Raw genomic sequence first — 24,559 nt, forward strand, 5'->3', positions numbered from 1 at the left:
TCCATCTTCCTACCAGCAGGGGAAGGGTAAGAGTTTGTGGGAATAGAGCCCATCAGCATATATGGTTCTGTGATGGAGCATATCAGTGCCTGGCCTCCCCTTAGTCTTCCCTCCACCCCAGGCTAAAAAGTGTCTTTAAAGCGGAGGTCTCTACACTCCACCAAGCCAAGTAAGCCAAGGTCACACTGATTGGTGGAACTGCAGGATACAAACTGTCCTGGGTGCTGTGCTGCCCAGATCCCCCTTCAGGGCTGAAAGACTTACACTTCCCACCCTCACTACTACTACTGGCTGGAAAGAACGCCTTGCCCAAGATCTCACCTTCCTAGATTAACTAGCATCTGGTGACTGGTCAATGCAGGGCCATCCCAGGTTCAGAACTCCCCACGTGGTCCACTGCAGCCTTACTTTTCCCTCTGCCCTGTCCTGCTTCATTCCTTTTTTTTTTTTTTTTTTTTCAGAGAGAGTCTCACTCTGTTGCCTAGGATGGAGTGCAGTGGAGTGATCTCGGCTTACTGCAACCTCCACTGCCCAGGTTCAAGCAATTCTCGTGCCTCAGCCTCCTGAGTAGCTGGGATTACAGGCACCCACCACCATGCCCAGCTAATTTTTGTATTTTTAGTACAGACAGGGGTTTCACCATGTTGACCAGGCTGGTCTCAAACTCCTGACCTCAGGTAATCTGCCCGCCTCAGCCTCCCAAAGTGCTGGGATTACAGGCATGAGCCACCACGCCCGGACCCTGCTTTATTCCTTCTTCCAAAGAGTAGATGCTAGGATGGATCACCTAATACCCAGGTAATAATGAGGTGCCCATCCCTGGTACAGGAGGAGCATAGCTAGCCTCTGGCAGAGGGAAACTCTAAGATGGCTAATTTTTTACAGGCAGTAAATGGGATGGTATACCAGGGGGAGAAAGCAGACAAGAGTATTCAATTACCGGGAAGGAATCAGGCTGAGACTTCACATCAGGGCAGGGAGGAACATTGGGCACCCACGTGATCTATTTAGGTGTCTCTTAGTACTCCTTTGCCCTATTTGGACAGTAAATGGACAAATGCAGCAACCACTGCCTGAGAAGTGCACAGCAACTAGGTGCTCAGGCTCTCTAAGGATGGAGGTCTAGACCACCCCATCACGCAGGCCACCTAGATCATCTGAGGTGCTGGCAGAAGGGAAGAGGTTTCTAGGATGGATAGAAGAGGGGACTGAAGGGTATGTTCGTTATGCCTCTAGATGAGCTGTAGCGGCGGCAGGAGCTGTAGTTCCCACTAACCCTCCTCTATATGTTTCCCACAGGAAAAGATTCCCCAGGGTCCTGAAAGTGCTGCTCTCCAAACTTAAGTAGCAAATGAGAGGCACAGCACCATGTGGGCACTATTGCAAATGCTGCACTACACTGCCTCGGTCAGGACTGAAGGACTATTCCCCGCCTACCGGGTGGGTGGTAGGTTGACAGATCTCAGCTGTCAGCCCTCTTGAGGAATTGTCTTTGTCTAAAGAGAGCTGCCCTCCAAGCTCCATGGCAGGTCAGTGCAGGGATGAAAAGACTTGGCCCATTTACTCCAACTCAGGCCAACTCAGCAGCTATCCTAGTTTCAGAACTCCCCTGGGGGTCTGCCAAAGCCTCCCATGACTGCAGCACAGACTGACTTCTCCCTCTTCCCACCCCTGCTTCCCTTTCCCCATAGGACTTGATTCTCAAAGGCTCTCTAATAAACTTTCTGCACTAATCAATAATCGCATTTCTGAGTCAGCTCAAAGGGAACCAATCCATGAAACAAACTGAGATTTGAGCCCGGGCGCAAGCTGCTAACTCTGGATTTAGTTTCTTGTGTCTTCTCTAACCCCAGAAACCCCAGGTACATGTGTGGTGCGTCCACCATGCTCTTGGCCCACGAAACCTAACCCCTAGGGAGACAGTGTGTTTATTGTCAGGCTGAAGATACTCCTTAAAGAGAAGAGTGATCACACAGTCCCTTCCACAGCTTTGCCCGTGGTCCCATCTGGATTCAGCCTCTTCTGGCCAAGGCCTGCCATCCATCACAATAGAGCATGCCATGTTCATGGCCCTTTAACAGCTGCAGAATGGCTGTTTATGACTTCAGGCTGCACAGCATATCTCCCTCCTGGAAGCCTTCTATGTTCTTCTGGGTCCCCAAGGCTTTCTGCCATAAGGAGTCTTGTGGCTCATTTCTGAAAAGTCCCAGCTGCTCTGCTTAGGGGTGGGTGAGAGGATGGGACGCTTCTGTCACCGAGGCCAGGAGTCTTGTTAGGCCAGATGGGGGTAAAAGGCCCAGAGAGGTGACATGGCTTTCCCAAGGTCAAGTCAGGAGCAGGGCAGGAACTAGAACATAGTTCTGTATTCTCTCTGCTTCACTCCATCACCTCTCCCAAACCCTTAGGGTTTGCCTCTGCTAAAATCTAGACTGAGATACAGAGAGAAGGGGACTGATCTGTCCTGCAGACCTCAGAGACTGGGGACTCTGAAACACCAGCCAGGCACAGTGGTGTGGGCCTGTAGTCCCAGCTACTTGGGAGGCTGAGGTGGGAGGATCACTTAAGGCCAGAAGTTGAAATCCAGCGTGGACAACATAGTGAGACCCTATCTCTGACAAAAAAAAAAAAAAAAGGAAAGAAAGAAAAGAAAAGAGCTATAGGGATAAAAAGAGGGATTAATGGGAAATCTGTAAACAGTTTGGCCCCTGCCAACCCCACCTCCCATTCTGGATGGTAGGAAGGTTTGGGATAGGTGACTATTCTCTGTACTGATGTGCAGCCATTAGTATGATAAAAATGTTTTAAATTCTTTTAACTCAATACTGGTTGTTCTTGTGCTTTAATCTTAGACCCAGAACCATTTGTAAAGGGTAAAAGGAAGAACTGTATTATTTATTTATTTTATTTATTAGAGACAGGGGTCTCACTGTGTTGTCCAGGCTGGTCTTGAACTGCTGGACTCAAGTGATCCTCCCACCTCAGCTTCTGGAGTAGCTGGGATTATAGGTGCAAACCACCACGCTTGGCTACTTGTATTTATTGTAAACACAAGAACCCAATCATCATCATTCTATTCAGCTGGAGTTAGAATATGTGCAAACTGTTCAAACATTCAGCCCTAGGATTCTTCTAAGCTGGCCAGTAGAGAACATCAGTGGATATTATCTGGGAATTTAGTCCTGTATAGTTACAGTTTCTTCTATCACTGGGCAATAGAAAACCCCAACAAGAAGCCAAATATGACTCAATTAAATTTCTCCAGTACTTATTTAAAAAAAGAAGAAAAGAAAAAAGAAACTGAAGACTATTGCAGTAATGTGATATGCATTATATCTGGATCCTTGGAGTATATGAATTATCTTGTGTCAATTTCTGTGGCAGAGGAAAAATAAATTGTATAATAACAAAAAAAAAAAACCTTTCCCCCAAGAGACCAATGTTTGGACAGAAAAGTCAATATAGACCAGCAATCAAACCCTTCCTTCTCCCAGCTATGTAGTGACACTGATACTCTGTTGCACATTTCTGCAAGGCTGTTGGATTTGGTGGAATTTGAAACCTCCTGAATTTTGTGGACATGTAAGCATTCCAAAAATAGAGACAGATGTCACTCTTCTAGGTCCTTCTAGAGACGACCTATGTGGCATTTAAGGAGAAAATGAGTGTTTCATCTCCATCTGCTGCACGGAGTACCATTAGGGAGAGCTGGATCAAACGTCAGGGTTAGTGGTGATTCGGCCCATGAGCTGTGGAAGAAAAGAAAACCTCCACCATAGCATATGCTGACAAATTATGCAAATGCCTTATTTTCCTGTTTATTCATCCAACTTAAGACGCTGCACACACAACTCAGTAAACGGGATCATAACACCTGGTTGCTCAGGTCAAAAACTTATTCTTGAGTTCTCTTTCAACTCCTTCCCCATTATCAGCAGGTCCTTCCCTCTATCTACAAAACATCCAAATCTGTCCATTCCTCTCCATCTTCACTACTCTCACCCTAGCCAAAGCTACACTTCTCTCTCGTGGACTACTTGGCCTCTTAACTGGCGTCCCTGTTGTCATCTTTGCCTTTCCCCCATACAAGCTACACTATGGATCTTCACAGATTAAGTAAGATCATGGGATTCTGCAAACACCCTCCATTGCCTTCTCATTGCACTCAGAACAAAATCCAAGGCCCCCAAAGCCCTACACCTAGCCTCTGCCTACCTCTTGTCATACTACTCTCCTGCCACACAGGCCATTTTGCAATTCCTTGGACACGCTGATCTCTTTCTGCCCCCCTCCCCTAATGATCTTTGCATTGGCTGTTCCCTCTGTCTGGTCTTGCGCCAGGTCTTCAAAGTGCAGATCTTTACGATCGTGATGGTCTCAGCGGAAATGCATCCTTCCCTATCGCAGGTATCGCTCCGACTCCCATCACACTGACCTCCATTGAATTCAGGGATCTGCACCTGAAATTATCTTTATTTTACAGATAGGTTCTTAATGTGTTTCTGTCTCTTCCCACCAGAACGTGAGCTCCCCAAGAGCGGGCGCCTTGCCTCTGTCCACTCCAGCACCTCTGCACCTACAACGTCTGACGAAGAGGGGTTGTCGAAAGCTATTTGCTAAATGGGGCAATCCTGGGAGCTGACGGCCGCGGAACGGGCAATGAGAATACAAGGTGACAGGGACCGCGCGGGGCCCGGAGTCGCTCGGCGGGAGTCGGGGCCCGCCTCCTGCTGGAAGACGGGCAGCTCCCCACTCTCATTCCAGTTTTGCTTCTGAGGGGCTCAGGAGGGGCCGCAGCCTGTGCCCAGTCATCAACATCAACAATCTTATTAGTGGGCAGAAAGCCAAGAGGTGGCGTGGCCTGCCAGAAGAGACCGGGACCCGGGCAGGGACCGGAGCCGGGCCGGTCGGGTCCGGGTCCAGAACGTAGAGGCGGGCGGTGCGGGGAGGGGCCCAGGGCGGCCGGCCGAGCCGGGAGGACGGAGCTGGGGCGCGGCGGCTGGGGAGCCGGGACCGGCCTCGCCAACGCCGCGGCTTCGCTTCCGGGTGAGGGGCGGGCGGGCCGAGCAGTTCCGGGGCGGGCGGCGGTTCCGTCTGTGCGGGCCGCGCCGCGGCTGCTGGTCCCGGGCGCGCGGAGGGCGCGAGCGGCGCGCGGGGGCCGAGGGGGCGCGAGGCAGCGGCGCGGGGACTCCGGGCCCCGGCGGCGGCCCATGGGGCGGGAGGCGTGAGGCCGCTGCCTGTCCGGGGCTCGGGGGGTGGGGGGAGCGGGGCGGGGAGATGGATAAACTGACCATCATCTCAGGATGTCTCTTTCTGGCCGCCGATATCTTCGCCATCGCCAGCATCGCCAACCCGGACTGGATCAACACCGGGGAGTCTGCGGGTGAGCCGCTGGCGCGCCGGGCCGGGCGGGGGATTGGCTGAGGGCGACGCGAGAGAGGGGAGACCCGGACTGAGGAGAGGACGGGGTGGAGGGTCCCGGCCGGAGGCTAGCCTGAGGAGACCGGGGGCGGAGGGGAGACCCGGGCCGCGGAGGAAAGGGATGGAGGAGAGGAAGCCGCCGGGCGCCAGCGGGACCCCCGGGCTGAGGGGAGAGGCGCCCCAGGCCGGGTGAAAAGTGGCCGAGGAGACCTGGGCTGGGCTGGCAAGTCCCGGACCGGGGAGGAGGGGAGCAGCCCTCCGATGTGAGGGATCGCAGAGGAATGAGCTTCGTTCTGGATTAAAAAAAAAAAAAAAAAAGTCAAGGTGGGAGACGGGAGGAAACTGAGGCTCCTGCAAGGGAATTAGAAACCAGGCGGAGAGGCTAGGGCTGAGAGTGAGGCAGCCTGCGGGGCAGTGCGGGAGCCACTAGAGAGCTGGTGGGCGAGGGGAGGCCGAGAGGGATCAGGTCCGACCCCAGACCCTCCACCACCAGAGGAAGCTGCGGCCGGGGGCGAGCCCGGGCTGCGGGCGCTGACCCCACCAGGCAGGGTGAATGGTGGGTGCTGGGAGAGCTGGTGGGGTTGGTGGGAGTGGGGGGCGCCGGATTGGAGCCCCTCTGCACCGCCGCCCCCGCCCATCCCCTGCCCGCTTGGCAATGTTTGAGAAGCTTGTGGCTTCGGATTTTCCCTTTGAAGTGTGTATGTGGTTATAATTCTGCTTTATTTTAGGCCCGGGAGCTATAATACTACTAATAATAAACCTCATTTTATGGAGCGTCTTTCATTCCAGCGCATCACAAAAACGCTGGAGAGCTCTTAATAGTAGTTACAAAATTAAATAACACATTACAGTTGCAGGCAGCCCGGCAGCGGGAGCAGTGCTTGCTGTACCACCACGGAGCTGTGGGCGGGAGAGGCAAGGTGGTGCCCTCGGGAAAGAGGCGGGCATCTTTCTGAAGGGTACCCCAGGTGAATGCGCTTCCAAGATTTTTCTCAGCTTGGGCCACTTCTTTCCCTGTTACCTCTTCTCCCTCCCCTCTTCCCCCGCCTCTCTTTCTCCCTCTCTCCCAGACCTGTGAGACCAAACCTTAATTAATGTAAACAGCTGTCAGGAGAGCTGCTCCGATTTAAGGAATGGTCTTGTTTTTTAACTGCTTGTTCAGTGCAGGTGAAGGAACTTTTGGAGGGTTGGGAATGTCAAGCTCCCTCCATGGATAATTTCTTATAAAAATGCGGCCGGGCGCGGTGGCTCACGCCTGTAATCCCAGCACTTTGGGAGGCCGAGGCGGGCGGATCAGGAGGTCAGGATTTCGAAACTAGCCTGACCAACATGGCGAAACCCCGTCTCTACTAAAAATACAAAAAAAAAAAAAAAAAAAAAAAAAAAAAAAAAGAGAATTAGCCGGGCATGGTGGCGTGCACCTGTAATCCCAGCTACTCAGGAGGTGAGGCAGGAGAATCGCTTGAACCCGGGAGGCAGAGGTTGCAGTGAGCTGAGATTGCGCTACTGCACTCCAGCCTGGGCGACAGAGCGAGACTCTGTCTCAAAAAAAAGAAAAAGAAAAGCATCACTGTGCTGTCAAAACTTAATTTTTAAGTATTACTTATGGTTCTGTATTTATCCTGCAATATTTTTAGCTCTTAGAAAAAAAGTGGTAGCTGGGACATTTGTTGCTTCCTCCTCCCTCCCTTCTCTCCCCCAATCTAGACCTAGTAACACAAAATCATGCTGTCATATTCACTGGTTATTAAAATAACACTCTAAAAATTCTGCTACTTTTCTTGCCCATAGAGTTTTAGCAGAACTCTTAATTGTAAAAGATATGAAGAATCAGGATGGTTTCGAATTTGGTGGTACTATGGGCTTTGTTTATGAAAATATTGTTGCTGCCCGACAACTTAACACGGTTACATGTATGACATCCAGTTCGTGACCTGTTGATGTTTTTATCCTACTTACATGTGTATTGACTCCTTTTATGAGACTTTCAGGCTTCACGTACTTAGGGGAAAAGGGGTTTCGGTGCTGTAGCAGAAGGAATCTTTTTACAAAGAAGTTTTAGATAGAATCCCAATAGATAAAATAGACTAAATGACCATGCAAAAGATATAGTTGAAAGAGAAGAATTGTTACATATAAAAGAGAAGAAAGATAAGTGATAGCATAACGTTCCTAAGATGGAAAAGGGCATAGCCGGGCGTGGTGGCTCATGCCTGTAATCCCAGCACTTTGGGAGGCCAAGGCGGACGGATCACCTGAGGACAGGAGTTTGAGACCATCCTGGCCAACATGATGAAACCCTGTCTCTACTAAAAATACAAAGAAGTTAGCCGGGCGCGGTGGTGCATGCCTGTCATCCCAGCTACTCGGGAGGCTGAGGCAAGAGAATTGCTTGAACTTGGGAGGCGGAGGTTGCAGTGAGCCAAGATCACGCTACTGCACTCTGGCCTGGGCGACAGAATGGTACTCCGTCTTAAAAAGAAAACAGAAAAAAAAAAAAAAAGGGCAAGCTCCTCTTGTATTCAGAAGAAAGCAAGGATAGAATGAGTATAACTCTTTAAAATTTGGAGGCAAAATTGGCTGTGAGTTGCCATGGAGATAGGAGCAATGGATGTCCAAGGTCTGAGGAAATAGAAACTGTTCGAAATAATTGCAGAGAAAGCTTGCCAACGGTGATAAGTAGGTTTGTCTAGCAGCACTGATGCGTCGTGGAAGTTGATGGTCATGAACATACAGTGTGATAACCTATCTGCCCTCTTGACCTTTTCTAGTAGTGCTATGTCATTTTGGTACTAAGGTAGGTGAATTTTCCAAGTGTTCTTGGAAATAAGGAAACATCAAGAATAATGTAAAAGCCTCATATACAATAATGAATAATAAAGAATAATGTGAAGGCTTCATTCAAGGTTGGGGTTTGCCAGATACATTGCAACAAAATGACAGAGCAGCCAAGGTATTTAGGATAGTGGCCAAAGTATTGTAATGATGGCTTATGGAGTGTCAGCTGGATAAAGAGTGAAAATGAATAAAAACTAATGGATTGTTCAGTCGAATAGCAGATGGTACAATGGTACATGGCCAGTAGAATAGGGGACCCAATAAAATTGAAGACCAGTCAGAGTGGGAGTGATCAATCCAGCAAAGTGGAATGGCAGGGGATCGTAGGCACAAGGTCCAGAGTGTAACAGTGACAATGTGTGGCTGATGTGGGATCGAGGAAGTGATTGTTTTTTTTCTAAAAGTTTTCCTTGCCATCTCAGGATACCACTCCGTTAAATATTATGGCTAGAAAGAGGAATAAGAGATACTAGGAACATAGGAAATTTTTAAAATTCTTATCTAGCATGTATTTCTTACCTTACATATGTCAGGCAGTAAACCCCCCAAAACATAAAACGAATGGGACAGTATGTTCCTTGGTTTACCGTTGTGCTTGAGCTTGTATGCTGTACAGTCTCACCTGAGCAGGCAGATGTAGTCCTGAGTTAAAAAAAAAAAAAAAAAAAGTGCAGAGTTACACCTTCCAAATCAATGAAACATTTACAAGAAGTTCAAGTAAGATCTCAGTGGTGACAGGTCTAGCTTATTTCAAGAGCTGCACAAAAGCCACTTAACCTGGCAACAAAAAGTTAATGTGTTGGTTCCCTTTGGTGTATTATATTCAGTCTATTAAAGTTTTGATTGTGATGTTTTCATTGCAGTTTTTATACCGGATAAAATGTATTTTAGAAGTAGAACTTTTGGAGCTGAAATAGTCTGCAGAATGTAGCTTGAAAACCACGGCAGTGAACTACTAAGGGAAAGTTTCAGAATTCAAGTCTAGACTTCATCACTTCGTAGCTCTGTAGCTTTAGGGCAGGTTCTTTAGCCTCTCTTTGTCTCCGTTTCCTCCTGTGTAAAGTAGGGATAATAAAAGTATCCATCTCACTGGGATATTTTGATAATTAACTGAGTTAACCCATGTCAAACATTTAGAACAGTACCTGACACACAGTAAATGCTCAATAAAAATTACATATTGTTATATTGCTGTTCTAGTTTATAAGAACAGGTGTCAGAATCCAGTTTTGAAATGAAAGCCCAGAACTGTGAGAAATGATGTTTTTCTCTATTAGATGTTCTAGGAAATAAGGAAACATCAAGAATAATACAGCCATGCTTAGAACAAGTTAAATATATGTCCCTCTTGGCTTTGGACTTTCTCTGTCACTTCCGTGCTGTTCTTCCTCTTCCAGTCTCTCCATACTCTAATCTCTGTTCTCAGCTTCTACTTGAACTACCATAGAAGGAATAGAAAAAAAAAAAAAAAAAAGAGTAACTTCCTGAAGTCCCTATTGATAAACTGTTACTATAAGATTATGGACCATACTTTGGACAGCAGAGTTTTTCATGTTTTTATTGTCTTGGTCTAGATACAGAGAAAGTACATCCCTTTTATTTTCACCTGTGTGATTAACATTTCATCTACTTCTTGTAATGGCTTGTGGATTATGCACAAACTTTTGAAGATCTGAAACATATTGTATGTATGGGGGAAGGCACTCTAATGAAGACTGTTTGTGTTAGTGTAACCAGAAATATTAAATGTAGATGAATACAGTGGCAAAATTACATAATTCTGCTATGCTAAGGTCAAATTTCTGCTGGTTACTGGAACTCAACACCAATAGGAATATCTTTGATTTTATATAATGCTTCATAGTTTTTGAAGCACTTTGACATCCATTACTTGATCTGATTCCTTAGGATGTTTATATTTGGCCAATGTAAAATAGTCATTTTCACATTTTCCCCCACATGGTAGTGCTTTGCATGTGAGATTTGAGTTTCAGTGCTGCAAAGATTCCATTGAAGAAAATTCTTCACTGAAGTATTACCTATATGTTATTTATGCACACCTTTTACTTATCTTAAATGAAATTAAAATTCTTCAGTGGCTGGAGGTTTTCCCAGATTACAGAAGAGGGAAAGAAGGAGACTTGGGGGTCTTTGCTTTGTACAAGCTTCTTAATTTCACTGTCACTCTCTTCTCACCCCTGAAGAGACTTTTTGTCAGGGGGAAAAATTAGTGTTAGTTAATTTTAACAAGATAAACAGTTAAGTAAAGCTGCGTCTCTGATAAATATAAATGGTCTGCAGATCCCTTTAGTGAGGAAGGCATTATCCCCTCACAGCAAGGATTTCAGTGACCGTAATCCTAATCATCCTAGATAGATTTGCCTTATGTTCTTTATGAAGATTTCCAGATGTTCCCCAAAAGTCTCTTTCAAGTAGCTGAAAGAACTTCTCCCTTATGTCTCGTCAAAATTTCCCTAAAGTGGTTATCATATTCATGTTATAGTTTGTCATAACGAAGTTAAGGTTAGTGTATTCATTTCTGAAGATATTTTCATTCTTGTTGTTTTTAAAATTGTCTAGATGGGATGTTACTGTTTGGGGGGGGGGAATCTCAAAAACTGACATGTTTTTCCCTGCTTGTATTCTGAACTAGTTGAGGGGCAAAAAAGAAATAAGGTATTTAGGGGCTAAAATATTATTTTATTACTAAGAAAGAGGATATTGGAGAATGTCACTTACATTTGGGGGCACGTGACGTCCTACTCCTGGACCTTAAAATTGAGCAGACTTAACAATCCAGTCCCAGACAGAACTGGGGGAACTGCCCCTATAACACTTCCAGCATGACAGAGGAGAGATGAGTGCTTCCAAAGACAAAATGTTGGATCACATATGCCCATTTTCTCCTAAACTACCAGTCAGATGAAGTCAGTCCTTGTGACCTGACAAGGATTGAGTGAGGAGACACAAATGAGCTAAAAGTATTATGCCAACAGGATTCTGTCCTCTCCCCCGGTCTCCATTGCTCATGGATAATAAAATCGGGAATAAGGAGAAAGCCTTATGTGTTTAAAACCCACTATATGTCTAGCATTTTGTGAGGAAGAGTTTTCATTTTCTTCAGGTCTAAAGATTGGCAGGTGTTCAGGGAAGTGAAAGCCTTGGTGAGGGGTATCATTTCCTATTCTGCTACCTCCTACCTACTTCATAGGAAAATCTGGTAAACCTCAGATAAGGGACTGTGGTGCTTGACATCTATCTCATAAGGGTTCAAGATCTACAGGTAGATCCCAGCCTATGCACTGGGGATCCTCAGTTTAAAACACTAAAATTACAAGTTGCTCAAGCAGACCTGTTTATTAAGTAATAGAAAATGATTAAATCATTAGTCCTTTCCCTGGAACTGTAACAACTTCAAAGGTCACAAAGGTACTTTGACATGAAAGAACTCTGTAACATCAGTTGTTAAACAAACCTATCTCAAACTTTATTTTATTAATCACTTTGGACATGATTTATAGAGGACAGGATTTGGTTACCTAAAAGGGCAAACATTTTGAGATTGTGTTGTCCTTGAATTTAAAAAGCATTAATAATATTTCTTCATTGGCCTTTTGAGCCTATTTCCAGTAAATTTTTTTTAAAGAGCTTTATTGAGATGTAATTCACATAATACTAAAATTCATCCATTTAAAGTATACAAATAAAGTATTTAAAGTATACAAATCAGTGGCTTTTAGTATCTTCATAAAGTTGTGTGCTACCATCACCATAGTCCATTTCAGAACATTTTCATTACTCCAAGACCAGGCTAAGAGGTGCCTCTTAGCCTCCTAGGCAACCCCTAATATGCTTTCTGTCTGTTGATTTGCCTATTCTGGACATTTCCAATCATAGAATCTATGTGATCCTTTGTGACAGGCTTCTTAAACTTAGCATAATGTTCTCAAAGTTCATACATGTTATGACTTTTTTTTTTCTTTAAGAGACAGGCTCTTGCTGTGTTTCCCAGGCTCAAACTCCTGGGATCAAGCAATCCTCCAGCCTCAGCCTCCCAAGTAGCTGGGACTATAGATGCACGCTGCCACACCTAGCTATGTATTTCTTTTTTATTGCCAAGTATTCCATTATATGGATAGACCACATTTATTTAGCCATTCATCAGTTGGTGGACATTTGGACCACTCAGTTTTTTACTTCCAAGCATAAAAGTCTATGAAGATAAAGTGATTAAAGATGTTTTTTAAATGTGATTTTTTAAAAAGTGACATTATCAGTATAATCTATTTCAGCATATCAAGTAATAATTATCAATAAAAATTCAAAAACCGGTCTTTTTACAGTACTCACAGGACATGCTTAAAGCTTGAGATCATTTATGATACTGTGAATTCCCAGAGTGGACTAGATTTTCCAATAGGAAATTAGATCTCCTGAACAAAGCATTAATATTTCCTTTACAACCTTAGTTCCAAACATCATCTCTTTTATCATTACCAACAGAGATGGAGCCACTTCAGAATTAAGACTATAAATAAGCCTAAATGTTTTTGGAGAAGGGGAATTTAGGATGAAGAACATGAACAGCAGGCATGAGTAAATGGAAATCACTAAAAGAAGGAAATTCAGAAGAAAAAAAATTAGAGTAAAGACTGCTGATGCATTTGTTAGATTGGCCATACTTATTGAGTCCTTCCTTATTTGGCTGCCAGAACCCCTTTCAAATTTTGCATAGTAATAGTTACATATATCAGTTCTCCACTGTTCTGCTTAGTGTGACCAAAAACATCATTGTTTAATCCCTTTCCTGGTAAATACTGAGTTTGTATTGGAGTTGCAGTATAGTAAAATGGTTCTGTAGGATTTGGAGTCAGGCATATCTCTATTTGATTCTTGGATTCCTTTTTTATTAGCTTTATGATTTGGGGCATGTAATTTGATTTTTCAGCTATAAAATGGAGACAATACATTTACCTCAAAGGATAGTTGTGAGGAGATAAAATGTGGCATATAAGAGATTAGCACATTGTCCGATACTTAGTAAATGCTCAAATGTTAGTCATTTATTACATAAAAGCTCAAAACATCTGGATTTTTAGTGTTTCCCTTTTGTACTGTCTGTCTTATTTATTTACTTATACCTGCCTTGTTCCAGAAAGAGATTTAAGGCAACATAATGTGTCTGTATTTGAATGTTCGTGAACCCAGCTGGGTCCAATCTGGGAAGAGAGACTGCATAGTCAGTTGTTGTGGTAATACACACTTATGGGACACATGTAACTACCAAAACCAAGGAGTACTTGGGTTTTTATGTTTCTGGAACAGATTGAAGAGGTTTTCTAAGTGAAAGACAGCCTAGCATAGTGGAAATGGCACACGGGCTTTGGGGCAAACCAACATGTAGCCAAGTCCCTGTCCTACTATTTACGAGCCGTGTAATTGATCTTAGACAAGTTGCAGTTGAGGGTTTTTATTAATGAAAATTATATCATTCAGACCTGATTAATACCTCTTTCAGCACTTCCAATAGTTATGCAGGTTTAGACTCCAACTTTGTTCTCCTGTGGGTTAAAGAATATTAACCACAGTGTATTGTTAAGATCATTTAGTTCAGAGGTTAGTTTTAAAGGAATTTAAGAGCTGGTAGTACAGTTGGAGTATCAAGTCAATTTTTCTCACCTCAAAGTGTGAAAATAAGTTTGAAATATATGAGATAGTTGGTTCTTTATAGAAACCTGGCAAGCGATATAGCTGAAGATTTAGTTTATGGAATAAATTTTTTTCTAGTTACTAGCTTCTGTAATGCAACTGTGAGTTCATTTTTTCCATAACCCATTTCAATGCATACTTAGGTGGTGGGCCATATTGCATAATCTTATAGGGGAAATTTAGACATGTAATGAAGTGTTCCTGTTTATGAAATTGTCACCATTGAATTATAAATAAGAACTTGTTCGTGCAACCTGAATGCATAATTATTTACATAGTGACCGTGTTTGATATGCTTCTCTAAGAGACCCAGGAAATTAGGTTGTACGGTGACAGCAGTGACAAGTATATAGGTATAAATTTCATATTTACAGCTTTACCTTTGTGATGGTTTATATAACATGACATTCATGTCTTTTTGGTTGTCAGAATGTTGTATTTTCAAGTTCTGAAGCTACACCTTTTTTTCCAAGTACTTTCTAGAATTCCCCGCCCAACTAAGCAGCTAGCAGCTTTATAATTAGAAAACCTGATCCGATTGATAACAACAGATTGAAAGTAGCAGTTATTTCATCCTTTATCAACTACAAACTGATGAAAAAGTAATGTTGGGAAAGCTGTTGTAGAAATCCTAAAGAGGCTTAGATAAGAGCCATGAGGAAACCTGAAGATCTTTGAATATCAGGATACCTAAAAATAGGTACCTGGATTAAAACCATTTTTCAATAATATACCCTTACTGTGTATTTCACCTAAATTTACTGTGTTTGTAAACTTTACTGTGCATTCTCTTGTTAACTGCAAATTACACGGAGGAGAATTCTTGCCAAATATGCAATGAGCAAGTAGAATGTGACGTTCCTTTGGGGTTTATTGCTTTAGAGTTGACAAAAAAAAAGAGCATTTGGGTTTGGGTGTTGCTATCAATGGTACTTACATGTATTTGTGAATATGTACCAACTAACATGTATAGTTTGCTTAAGGGAAGTTTCAGTGTGTGACTCCAGTTCACTTTTGAAGCAAACTGACAAATCTTTGAATCACTGCTTTTTTTTTTAATTAGCAAAAGGCTGCACTTTGTGTGTCTCATTATACTAGCTTTGCTATAAATAAAATATCACATTTGGCATTTTGACACTTGCCGTTGTATATATTGAGCAAAAAGGCAGCTGTTGACTTTTAATATAGATCTGTTCAACTAGGGACCATATTCTACTATAGTTAGAGATTAAACAGGAGTAGAAAAAAATGCAGTTGGGTGGGTCAAGTAAGAAAAAGGAAGAACAAAATTTCATTATTGCAATATATTCACAGTAAGTTGTTTACCTGGAACATGGTTGGGTCCAATTTCAGCCATAATAATAGAAGTTCTTTTCAAAAATAGGCCATGTTCAGATCAGTTCTGCTGACCAGGCCACTGACCTCCAAAGACAAAAATCTTTAAGGCCACTTAGACTGTCAAAGAGATATGACCATTTGATTTATAAGGTACCATCATTTTGATAAAAGAAATCTTTAATTTACTATGAATATTTTAAAAATCTTCCCATAGATATTCCCTATGCGATTGGACTTCATTCCAGACCATCTTGCAACAAATGCTATTGACGTATTTGTGGTCTGTAAGGAATCTGTACTGAAATAATCAGAGAGATTATGTTTAAGCAAATGAAAAAAGTCCTTGAGGTACCCTATACCCTGGGAAGATAAAATTGTATCTTGCATGTCTTACATCTTGTGAGTATGTACCAACATATGCATAGGATCAGGCAATCAGAGAGGAGGTGGAATTTGAGCTTAACAGATGATACATTTAATAATGAGTAATAAGGAAGACTTGGGTGGTTCTTGTTCTTGAAAAGGGAATGGCATGAGTAAAGGTAGAGAGGAGGCAGTGAAATTTCTATTCCAGTCCATTTCTCTGTATTGCAACTTACTTTATCTTTCTAAAGAACAAATAGAATAATAAATACTTGTATAGCATTTACTTTGTGACAGATTCTTTTCTAGACACTTTACATGTGTTAATTGATCCCCACAATGCCCCTGTGTAAGTGCTGTTATTTAGACAGCCTCATGAAAATACAGAGAAGTCACTTGCCTAATGTCACACAGTGGATCCTGGCTCTTAACTATTGCATGTGCTTGTACCAGAAACCTTCAGTGACTTCATCTTCCACAGGACAAAAGACACTCAAGGATTTTCACAATCTGGCTCCAACTTATAATACTTTCTGGCCTTAGATCCTGCTTTTTTCCCCGCATGAATGTACATTCTAGCCCCTCTGTATTACTTTCTGTTTCCTGTGTGTAATCTGTATTCTCATCTGTAATTCTTTGGTCCTCTCACTCTCTCCAGTCCCTGTTTTATCAGTATCCTACCCATCTTCCGAGCATATCAGTTGCTATCTTCATAAAACCTTTTTTGATCCCTTACCTAAAGTGATTTTCCAACCCCTTGGTAACACTTTGCACATTTTTTATGGTAGCATATCTGTGTCATGGTTATTTGTGTGGTACTTGCCCTATTTTCTAGTATAATTTTTTTGTAGTATAGATTTTTTTAAAGTTCTTTGAGAGCAGGGAATATGATTTGTTGATCTTTGTATCTTAGGCAGCATTCAGTCTAAGCTTGCACAGGGCAGGAAAGAGGAAATGTTATGGTTAACACTAAGATTTTGAACCTGGGCTAGGGAATAAAATTGGGAATTTAGAGAGTGAGGTGATTGTAAAAAGTGAGGAGTTGATTTAGACATGTTCTGTTTGAGGTGATAGTAGGATATGCAAGAAGAAAGGGACTAGAGCTCAGAAGACAGGAATATTTGGCACTCCCAGTCTTATCTCATTTTCACAAGTATGATACTTAAATTGCTACATATCAAATTAGCTGCATATCCATAGAATTCAGGCTTCTTTTTTTTAAAAAATGTATCAGTTGGGGCCAGGTGCGGTGGCTCACGCCTGTAATCTCAGCACTTTGGGAGGCCGAGGCGGGCAGATCAGCTGAGGTCGGGAGTTCAAGACCAGCCTGACCAACATAGAGAAACCCCATCTCTACTAAAAATACAAAATTAGCCAGGCGTGGTGGCACATGCCTGTAATCCCAGCTACTCAGGAGGCTGAGGCAGGAGAATCGCTTGAACCCAGGAGGCGGAGGTTGCAGTGAGCCAAGATCGTGTCATTGCACTCCAGCCTGGGCAACAAGAGCGAAAACTCCATCTCCAAAAAAAAAAAAAGTATCAGTTGGTTTTTATTTAGAAAATGAAGTCCAGCTACTATATAATCATTCCTGACTTTAATTTTTTTTTTTTTTTTTTTTGAGATGGAGTTTTGCTCTTGTTGCCCAGGCTGGAGTGCAATGGCTTGATCTCGGATCACTGCAACCTCCGCCTCCCGGGTTCAAGTGATTCTCCTGCCTCAGCCTCTCAAGTAGCTGGGATTACAGGCATGCGCCACCACGCCCAGCTAATTTTTGTATTTTTAGTAGAGACAGGGTTTCTTCATGTTGGTCAGGCTGGTCTTGAACTCCCGACCTCGGGTGATCCACCCGCATCGGCCTCCCAAAGTGCTGGGATTACAGGCGTGAGCCACCGCGCCCAGCCCTGACTTTAATATTATAAGATGAAACTTAATTTGTAGGTTGTTTTGTTGATTCTCTGGGTCAATACGGAAGTTAGATTTCTAGGCTAGCCCACAAGTCCATGTTGTAGTTGAAATACTTACTTCTGCAACAACAAAATAGTAGAAAGCAATACAGTTGCTTTACTATTTGCATTTTCAAAAGATAAAAAGGAACAAGAAAGTGCAGCTTATTTTTCTTATTCTTGATCGGTTTGACTTCAAAGCTTACAGCATTCCTCCTATGTGATATAGTTGTTCACTGAGATTCTTCTTATATATGTCAACAGTGTTTTGGGTTTTCTGGCCCTATCAGAGGAATTACGGAGATTGTATGTGTAAGAGGTTTCCTGAAGTGGAATAACCTGTGGTAGAGTTAACTCAGTAGAGCTGAGGAAGATACGTATGAGTGAATGCAAGTGCATATGATATGTGTAGTTTGCTGTGGTGGGGGTGGGTAGGGGATGGTGAGGAACTTGTAATGGGTAAATAATCTCTCCCATGAGGAAGCAAGATGAAATGGAAGAGGTTGGATCCAATGTTCCTCATCTGAGCCCACGGGAAGGGCCATTGGTCTGGTCTAGAATGGTTACTGCTCGTTGAGGGGACCTCTATGGTTGGATAGAGTAAGGAGAAAAACAGTATTTTGTATGCCAGTTTAAGTATGATAAGGTGCAGATTAAGTCTTTTATGTTGAAATCTGGGTTCTGATTCTGGCTTTCCCATGGTTGTTTTGTTTGTGCTTGAAAATTTACCTAAATTTTGTTATTCTGTATTTTCCCCCAACTGAAAAATAGTTCCTGTCCCCCTTCATCTTCATGAATATCCTCTTACTTGAAAATAAAAGTGAGTGTATATGATATGTTAAATTCTTAGGAAAGTATTTTATTCAGAAAGTTAAAAGAGTATGGGGGCTGGGCTCACACCTGTAATCCCAACACTCTGGGAGGCCGAGATGGGCAGATCGCTTGAGCTCAAGGAGTTCGAGACCAGCCTGGGCAACATGATGAAACCCTGTGTCTACAAAAAATACAAAAATTAACCCGGCGTGATGGCGTGTTCCTGTAGTCCCAGCTACTCAGGAGGCGTAGGTGGGAGGATCTCATGAGCCTGGGAGGTGGAGGTGGCAGTGAGCCGAGACTGGACCACTGCACTCCAGCCTGGGTGACAGAGTGAGACCCTGTCTCAAAAAAAAAATATATATATATAGGGGAGAAGTCAGAACTCAGTTCAAATTCTGGTTCTGTTGTTTACCAGCTGAGGGGCTTTGAGCATGTTTCTTGGCCTCGGAGCTATAGCTTTTTCATGTATAAATGGGGATAATACTTCTTACCTTGAAGGGTGGTTGTAAGAATTAAAGTTAATATATCTGAAACATCTACCACAGTACAGGCACACATGGTAACTGCTGTTATTGTGGTTAAGCAACTAAATGGATTAATCTCTTATCACATTTGATACATGGAACATAAACATTGCAGTTGATTGTTTGCCCACTATACAGTTACTGAAGGCAATCTGATGTTTTTAAAGTAGGATATATCATTGTTTTATCCTTGGCTGCCCGTATCACTTTTTTTTTTTTTCCATTAAAAAAAGTAGTCTCGCTATGTTGCCCAGGCTGGTTTCAAACTCCTCCTGAACTCAAGCAGTTCTCCCGCCCTGACCTCCCAAAGTGCTGGGATTACAGGCATGAGCCACTGCCCAGGCCCTGCCGGTATCACTTTCACGATGTACATTCTAACCATGCCCCTGATACCTGGATTGCTATCTTCTTCCAGCTCAGTGCACTAAGAGTATCAGACAGCCTATCCAAATGTTTATATGCAGGTGCTGTGCTGCATATCAAAGGTAATGTGTATTTGGGGATTTTTCAAGTGTGATGACAGATTGTACTAAGCCACTAGCATCCTTCAACCTTCCTACACTAGCCAACATTTGCTAACTGGGTTATGGATGTAATCTGTAGTCCTAGGGTAGATTTCCCTGACTGGCTAGGTATGTAAACCATAACCCTAACCTCATTAGTTGAGGTTAGTCACTATCATGGACTGAATGCACCCCTCCTTCCAAATTCACATGTTGAAATCCTGACCCCCGATATGGTAGTATTAGGCAGAGGGGATTTGGGGAGGTGATTAAAAAGAGGTCTAGCCCACTTTGTGCTATATGAAGATACAGTGAGAATTTACCAGTTTGCAACCTAGAAGACCCTCACCAGAACCGGACCTTGCTGGCACCCTGATCTCAGATTTCCAGCCTCCAAAAATGTAAGAAATGAATTTTAATTGCTTTTAAGCCACCTGGTCCTTTGTTACAGCAGCCCAAATGGACTAAGACAGTAACCAAGTGTCAGTCAAGGGTTGTAAATGTAAAGGATGATTGATAATCACAGGTAGCCTACAAGATAATTTATGGTATAATCTTATTCATCTTCTTATGATGAAACGTAAAATGTGAGACTCTGTTTTTTTATTCTGTAGACAAAATACTTTGGGTTTAAAAATTTTTTAAATTGAGTCACTTAAGAAACCATAGCAAAGAATCTTACTAAGACAAATGTAGACAGTCATATATCAGCCTACTAAATCACCTTTTAGACTCCCACTCTGGATAAGATTTAGTGGATTAGGATTAGAAGACAAACCCTTTTATGTTGATATGTTGCTAATATAGGACTAATCCTAGAAACCTCATACTCTTTCTGAGGTTCTTACCATTCAGTAGGTAGCTATTATCGTGTAACCATTTAGAATTGCACCATTAGTTAAGTAAGATGTTGGCTTTAAGTGGACCACCCTGTATTGAAGATTTAATTATCCTTTATTGTGACTATCTTGACAGTTATCAGGGATGTTGGATACATTATGGGTTTTCCCTACTGTGCTATTTCTTTTATTTTTTGCCTCTGTAAGTTGCTGGGCACTGCTTTTTTTCTCTTTTTATTAGCCTAGAATTAACTAAAAGATTGTATCTCTTATCCATCACCTCCTACTGTGCTCTGCCCTTCCTCTCTAGGAGCCTCTTGTGGCAAATCTCCAACTTGGCCATTCAAGCAGTTCATACCCAGATGAAAAAGTTCAAGGTACAGATATCAGCCATTCTCAGTGGTCAGTTTCCATTGTCTTTACCAATAGCTCTCTGCTGTGCTCAGCTCCTGTTTCTCTGAGCTTGGGGTTTTACTGAGTTTTTTTTAGAAAATCCGTCAACTTATCTAATGAAGAAGACTCTTGTCTTTTGACTGTATTGATACAGGCTACAGAGGTACTTACTCCTTTTCTGTGAACCTGTTTTCTCTTGTATAGATTCAAGAAATTCTTCAGTGATTCTGCTTTGTTGATGGTATTCTTGTCATTTTCTCATGCTGCTATAGAATTTTGTACAAATTATATATATATATATATATTTTCTTAAGAAACTTAGTTTATCCAACAAAAGGACTATAACACTATTTTACATTCTTAATTCTGATATAAAGCACATTTTCAAATTAGTTGCCAACCTTTGTTTTAAAATTATATTGAAATCCTGGATCTAGATCTTCTAGACAGTTTCTTTGGTATATTATATTGGTCATTTCAGTGGGGTTTGGAGAAGACAGGAGAATAAATTGACTCACTTTACCTCCCAGCAATGTTTAATGAATGTTGATTGAATGAGTGAAATTAGTGGTTAGGTAGAGCAGTTGATTTGGCCTAAATAATATTTACAAATATGTATAGGAGATTTAGTCTACAGCAGTTGATTATCTTTGAAAACTTTTTTTTTTTTTTGAGACGGAGTCTTGTTCTGTCACCAGGCTGGAGAGCAGTGGTATGATCTCGGCTCACTGCCACCTCCACCTCCAGGGTTCAAGTGATTCTCCTGCCTCAGCCTCCTGAGTAGCTGGGACTATATAGGCTTATGCCACCACACCCAGCTAATTTTCGTATTTTTAGCAGAGACGGGGTTTCACCATGTTGGCCAGGATGGTCTCGATCTCTTGACCTTGTGATCTGCCCACCTCAGCCTCCCGAAGTGCTGGAATTACAGGCATGAGCCACTGCGCCTGGCCGAAAACATTTTTAATAGTGGGAAAGTTATGATACAATAATTTTCTTAAGGTCACACATTTAAGTAACCAGAAAAGGTTTAAGTTTTATGGCTCCTATTTATGGCAGGGACATATGTGTAATCAGTTAGAATGCAGGAGACATTATATTAAAGTGGCTAACAGGACAGACTGTAGAGCCTAGGTTCAAATTCTACCTGTTCTGTCTGGACATGACGGTTCATGTGCCTGTAATCTGAGCACTTTGGGAGGCTGAGATGGGAGGATCGCCTGAGCCCAGGAGTTTGAGACCAACCTGGGCAACATAGCAAGACTTCATCTCTACAAACATTTTTTTTTTTAATTGCTAGTCATGATGATGTGTGCCTGTAGTCCTAGCTACTCGGGAGGCTGAGGCAGAAGGATCGCTTGAGCCTAGGAGTTCAAGGCTGCAGTGAGATATGATTGTGCCACTGTACTCCAGCCTGGGCAATGGAACAAGACTCTGTCTAAAAAAAAAAAAAAAATTCTATCTGTTCAGCTTACTAGCAGCATGATTTTGGGCAACATACCTCAGAGGTCTGTTTCATGTATATAAAACACTTACAGTGCTTGGCACATAGCACTATGTAAGTGTCAACTAAAGTTAATCAGACTAACTTTTGAAGATCCTTAGCTATAGTCTTTTCGGGAGCCATAGGCAGTTATCTTAAAAATTGATCATAAATACTTTATTGTAATAAATATTAAGTTGTAGATATAAATGTTACCATACCGATTCTACTGTTTACATATAAATTCTAGTCCATGGACAACTGGCCACAGTGTTTACCTCATATGAATAGTACCACTACTGTAAAGAAGAGTAGTCTTACTGTTGAAAAAAGTAAATTTCAATATTGAATACAAATTGAAATCAGTGAGCCTAACTGTACATCAAATTAATCATGTAACCATCAAGGAAAAAAGGAATTATCAAGTAACTTTTCAACATAAAACTCTGACTGTGCTCTCTTAATGATGGGATATAACCTAAGGACAAAAAGAACTGCAAAGAAATACTGATCTTAGTAGGTAACAAACCCCCTACAACAGCTCTGCAGGGGAAATGTCCCCATTTTGCTGTTGAAGAAGCATATTCAAAGAAGGGAATGATTTACCTGGCATTAAATGATGCTGGAGTCATACCACACTGCTGTTTTTATAGTGTGCTGTTTCTGATGAGTCCTGTTTTAACCATCCTGGTTTGTTTAGTACCTCTCTCTTATTAACACCCTCTGTAATTATTAGAACCACATTTTCAAGAACTTAGTAACCATTTGAACCCCCTTTTTTCAATAATTTCATTCCATGTAATCAGGCCTAGTTTTTTGAAATCTGCTTTCCTAAGGGGTATTTGACCTACCCATTCTTTACAAATTCTGAGATGACCTAGATGACCTAACAGCTTTTTTCCTAATTCCTCCTGCTTCACCAATAACTAGTTCCTGGAATATTAGCTAGTGTCCAAGTCACAATTATTTATGGTCTGTATGATAACTAAGTCTGGAAGTTGGATATGAGAGAATTGCATTCTTTTTTTTTTTTTTTTTTTTGGAGACAGGATCTCACTCTGTCGCCCAGGCTGGAGTGCTGTGGTGCGATTTTGGCTCACTGCAACCTCCACCTTCCGGGTTGCAGTGATCCTCCTGACTCAGCCTCCTGAGTAGCTGGGATGACAGGCACGTGCTACCAAGCCCAGCTAATTTTTGTATTTTTAGTAGAGACAGGGTTTTACCATGTTGGTCAAGTTGATCTCAAACTCCTGACCTCAGGTGATCCGCCCACCTCGGCCTCCCAAAGAGCTGGGATTACAGGCATGAGCCACCGCGCCCAGCCTGAGAATTGCATTCTTAAAGACATTAATCTGTTTGTAATTTAGGATGTCTTATAGTGATTTGGTGGTGAGACATACGGGAAGGGGTGGTAAAGAGTGCAATTGTTGGACCTGTGCTTTTTACGTGAAATAGCGGAAATGAGTATTACTTTACAAACTGGTTTTGGAAATGATTCATTCATTAAAGAAAGCAAATAAAAATAGCAATAAAACTAGGACATAATAACTGGTTGTTAAATGAACTCTATGTCCTTTGAAAAGGAGATGATTAAGGAAGAAAATATGTAAATAACTTGGGTACACAAGCTGCTATTTGAAATTCTGCTGAGTAAAAATGATAGGAGGAGTTAAACTGTTCAGGAATTTAGCTCTTGCTTAAAGTATTCGTGTAGCAAGTCTCTGTTTTTTTTAAATTACAGTGTTTGAAGATCCTCTTCTTGAATTAACAGAATCAAAGTGAAATTCCATTTTTTAAATCACTCCTAAACTGTCTTTAGTGTGTGGCTTTAAAATATAATTCTATGTAATATACTAGAGAAATTCTCAAGAAAATCTAGGACTAGGATTTCAATATAATTTTAAAAGGAAGTAAGGTGGGCAATCAGATTAATTTGAAAAAGTGCTTTATATCACTAGTAAGAATGCAAAACTGTGTTATAGTGCTTTCATTAGGTTAACTGCGTTTCTAAACACCTGGAGAAAATTATTTTAGTATTTTCTGTCCAAAATAGCGGTTTGTGGAAAATGCGCCACTTGTCTGGGGAAATCAGTGTTTATGAGACATCTTTGTTAATGTTTCTAAAGTTTTAACTCTCTGGACAAACATTCAAGAAAAATTTAACCGTTATACAAAAATATTCCTACATAGTAAACTTTGAGCACACCTGTGGAATTAGACTTGGTTCATGTTCTAACCAACTCCTTCTAGCTGGTACCTTGTCATTTAGCCTGTTACTGAGTTTCCTTATTGAATTGTTTTGAGAATTAACTTGAGCACACATAAAGCACTTAATACTACACCCAGCACTAAGAAAGCACTCAAAATATAGTGGCAGCTATTATTATTTATC

At 42.0% G+C, this 24,559-nt stretch overlaps 1 protein-coding gene across 4 annotated transcripts in view, besides 2 other annotated features; it reads left to right on the top strand.

The window, feature by feature from the left end:
* Positions 4,876–5,115: a silencer, noted in NCBI's record as "silent region_7258". NCBI's record gives its function as "represses an Ori minimal core promoter by ATAC-STARR-seq in GM12878 lymphoblastoid cells {active_cell/tissue: GM12878}" and the evidence as "EXISTENCE:reporter gene assay evidence [ECO:0000049][PMID:35858748]".
* MOSMO (modulator of smoothened) overlaps positions 5,084–24,559 on the top strand; it is an 84,542-nt gene continuing 65,066 nt past the window's right edge. For all 4 annotated transcript variants that reach the window (XR_007064906.1, XR_007064907.1, XM_047434583.1 and 1 more), the window contains exon 1: positions 5,084–5,380. Coding sequence is in view for 2 of the 4 variants with exons in the window: in NM_001164579.2 (NP_001158051.1) it covers positions 5,275–5,380 (106 nt within the window). In the remaining 2 variants the exon portion in view is untranslated. The remainder of the gene's footprint in view (positions 5,381–24,559) is intronic.
* Positions 23,092–24,291: an enhancer, noted in NCBI's record as "MED14-independent group 3 enhancer chr16:22037440-22038639 (GRCh37/hg19 assembly coordinates)". NCBI's record gives its function as "activates an origin of replication core promoter dependent on BRD2, BRD4, P300/CBP and CDK7 cofactors, and independent of MED14, by STARR-seq in HCT116 cells {active_cell/tissue: HCT116}" and the evidence as "EXISTENCE:reporter gene assay evidence [ECO:0000049][PMID:35650434]".

Source organism: Homo sapiens, chromosome 16 (assembly GCF_000001405.40).
Source record: "Homo sapiens chromosome 16, GRCh38.p14 Primary Assembly".
In the NCBI taxonomy this organism is placed as follows: Eukaryota; Metazoa; Chordata; class Mammalia; order Primates; family Hominidae; genus Homo; species Homo sapiens.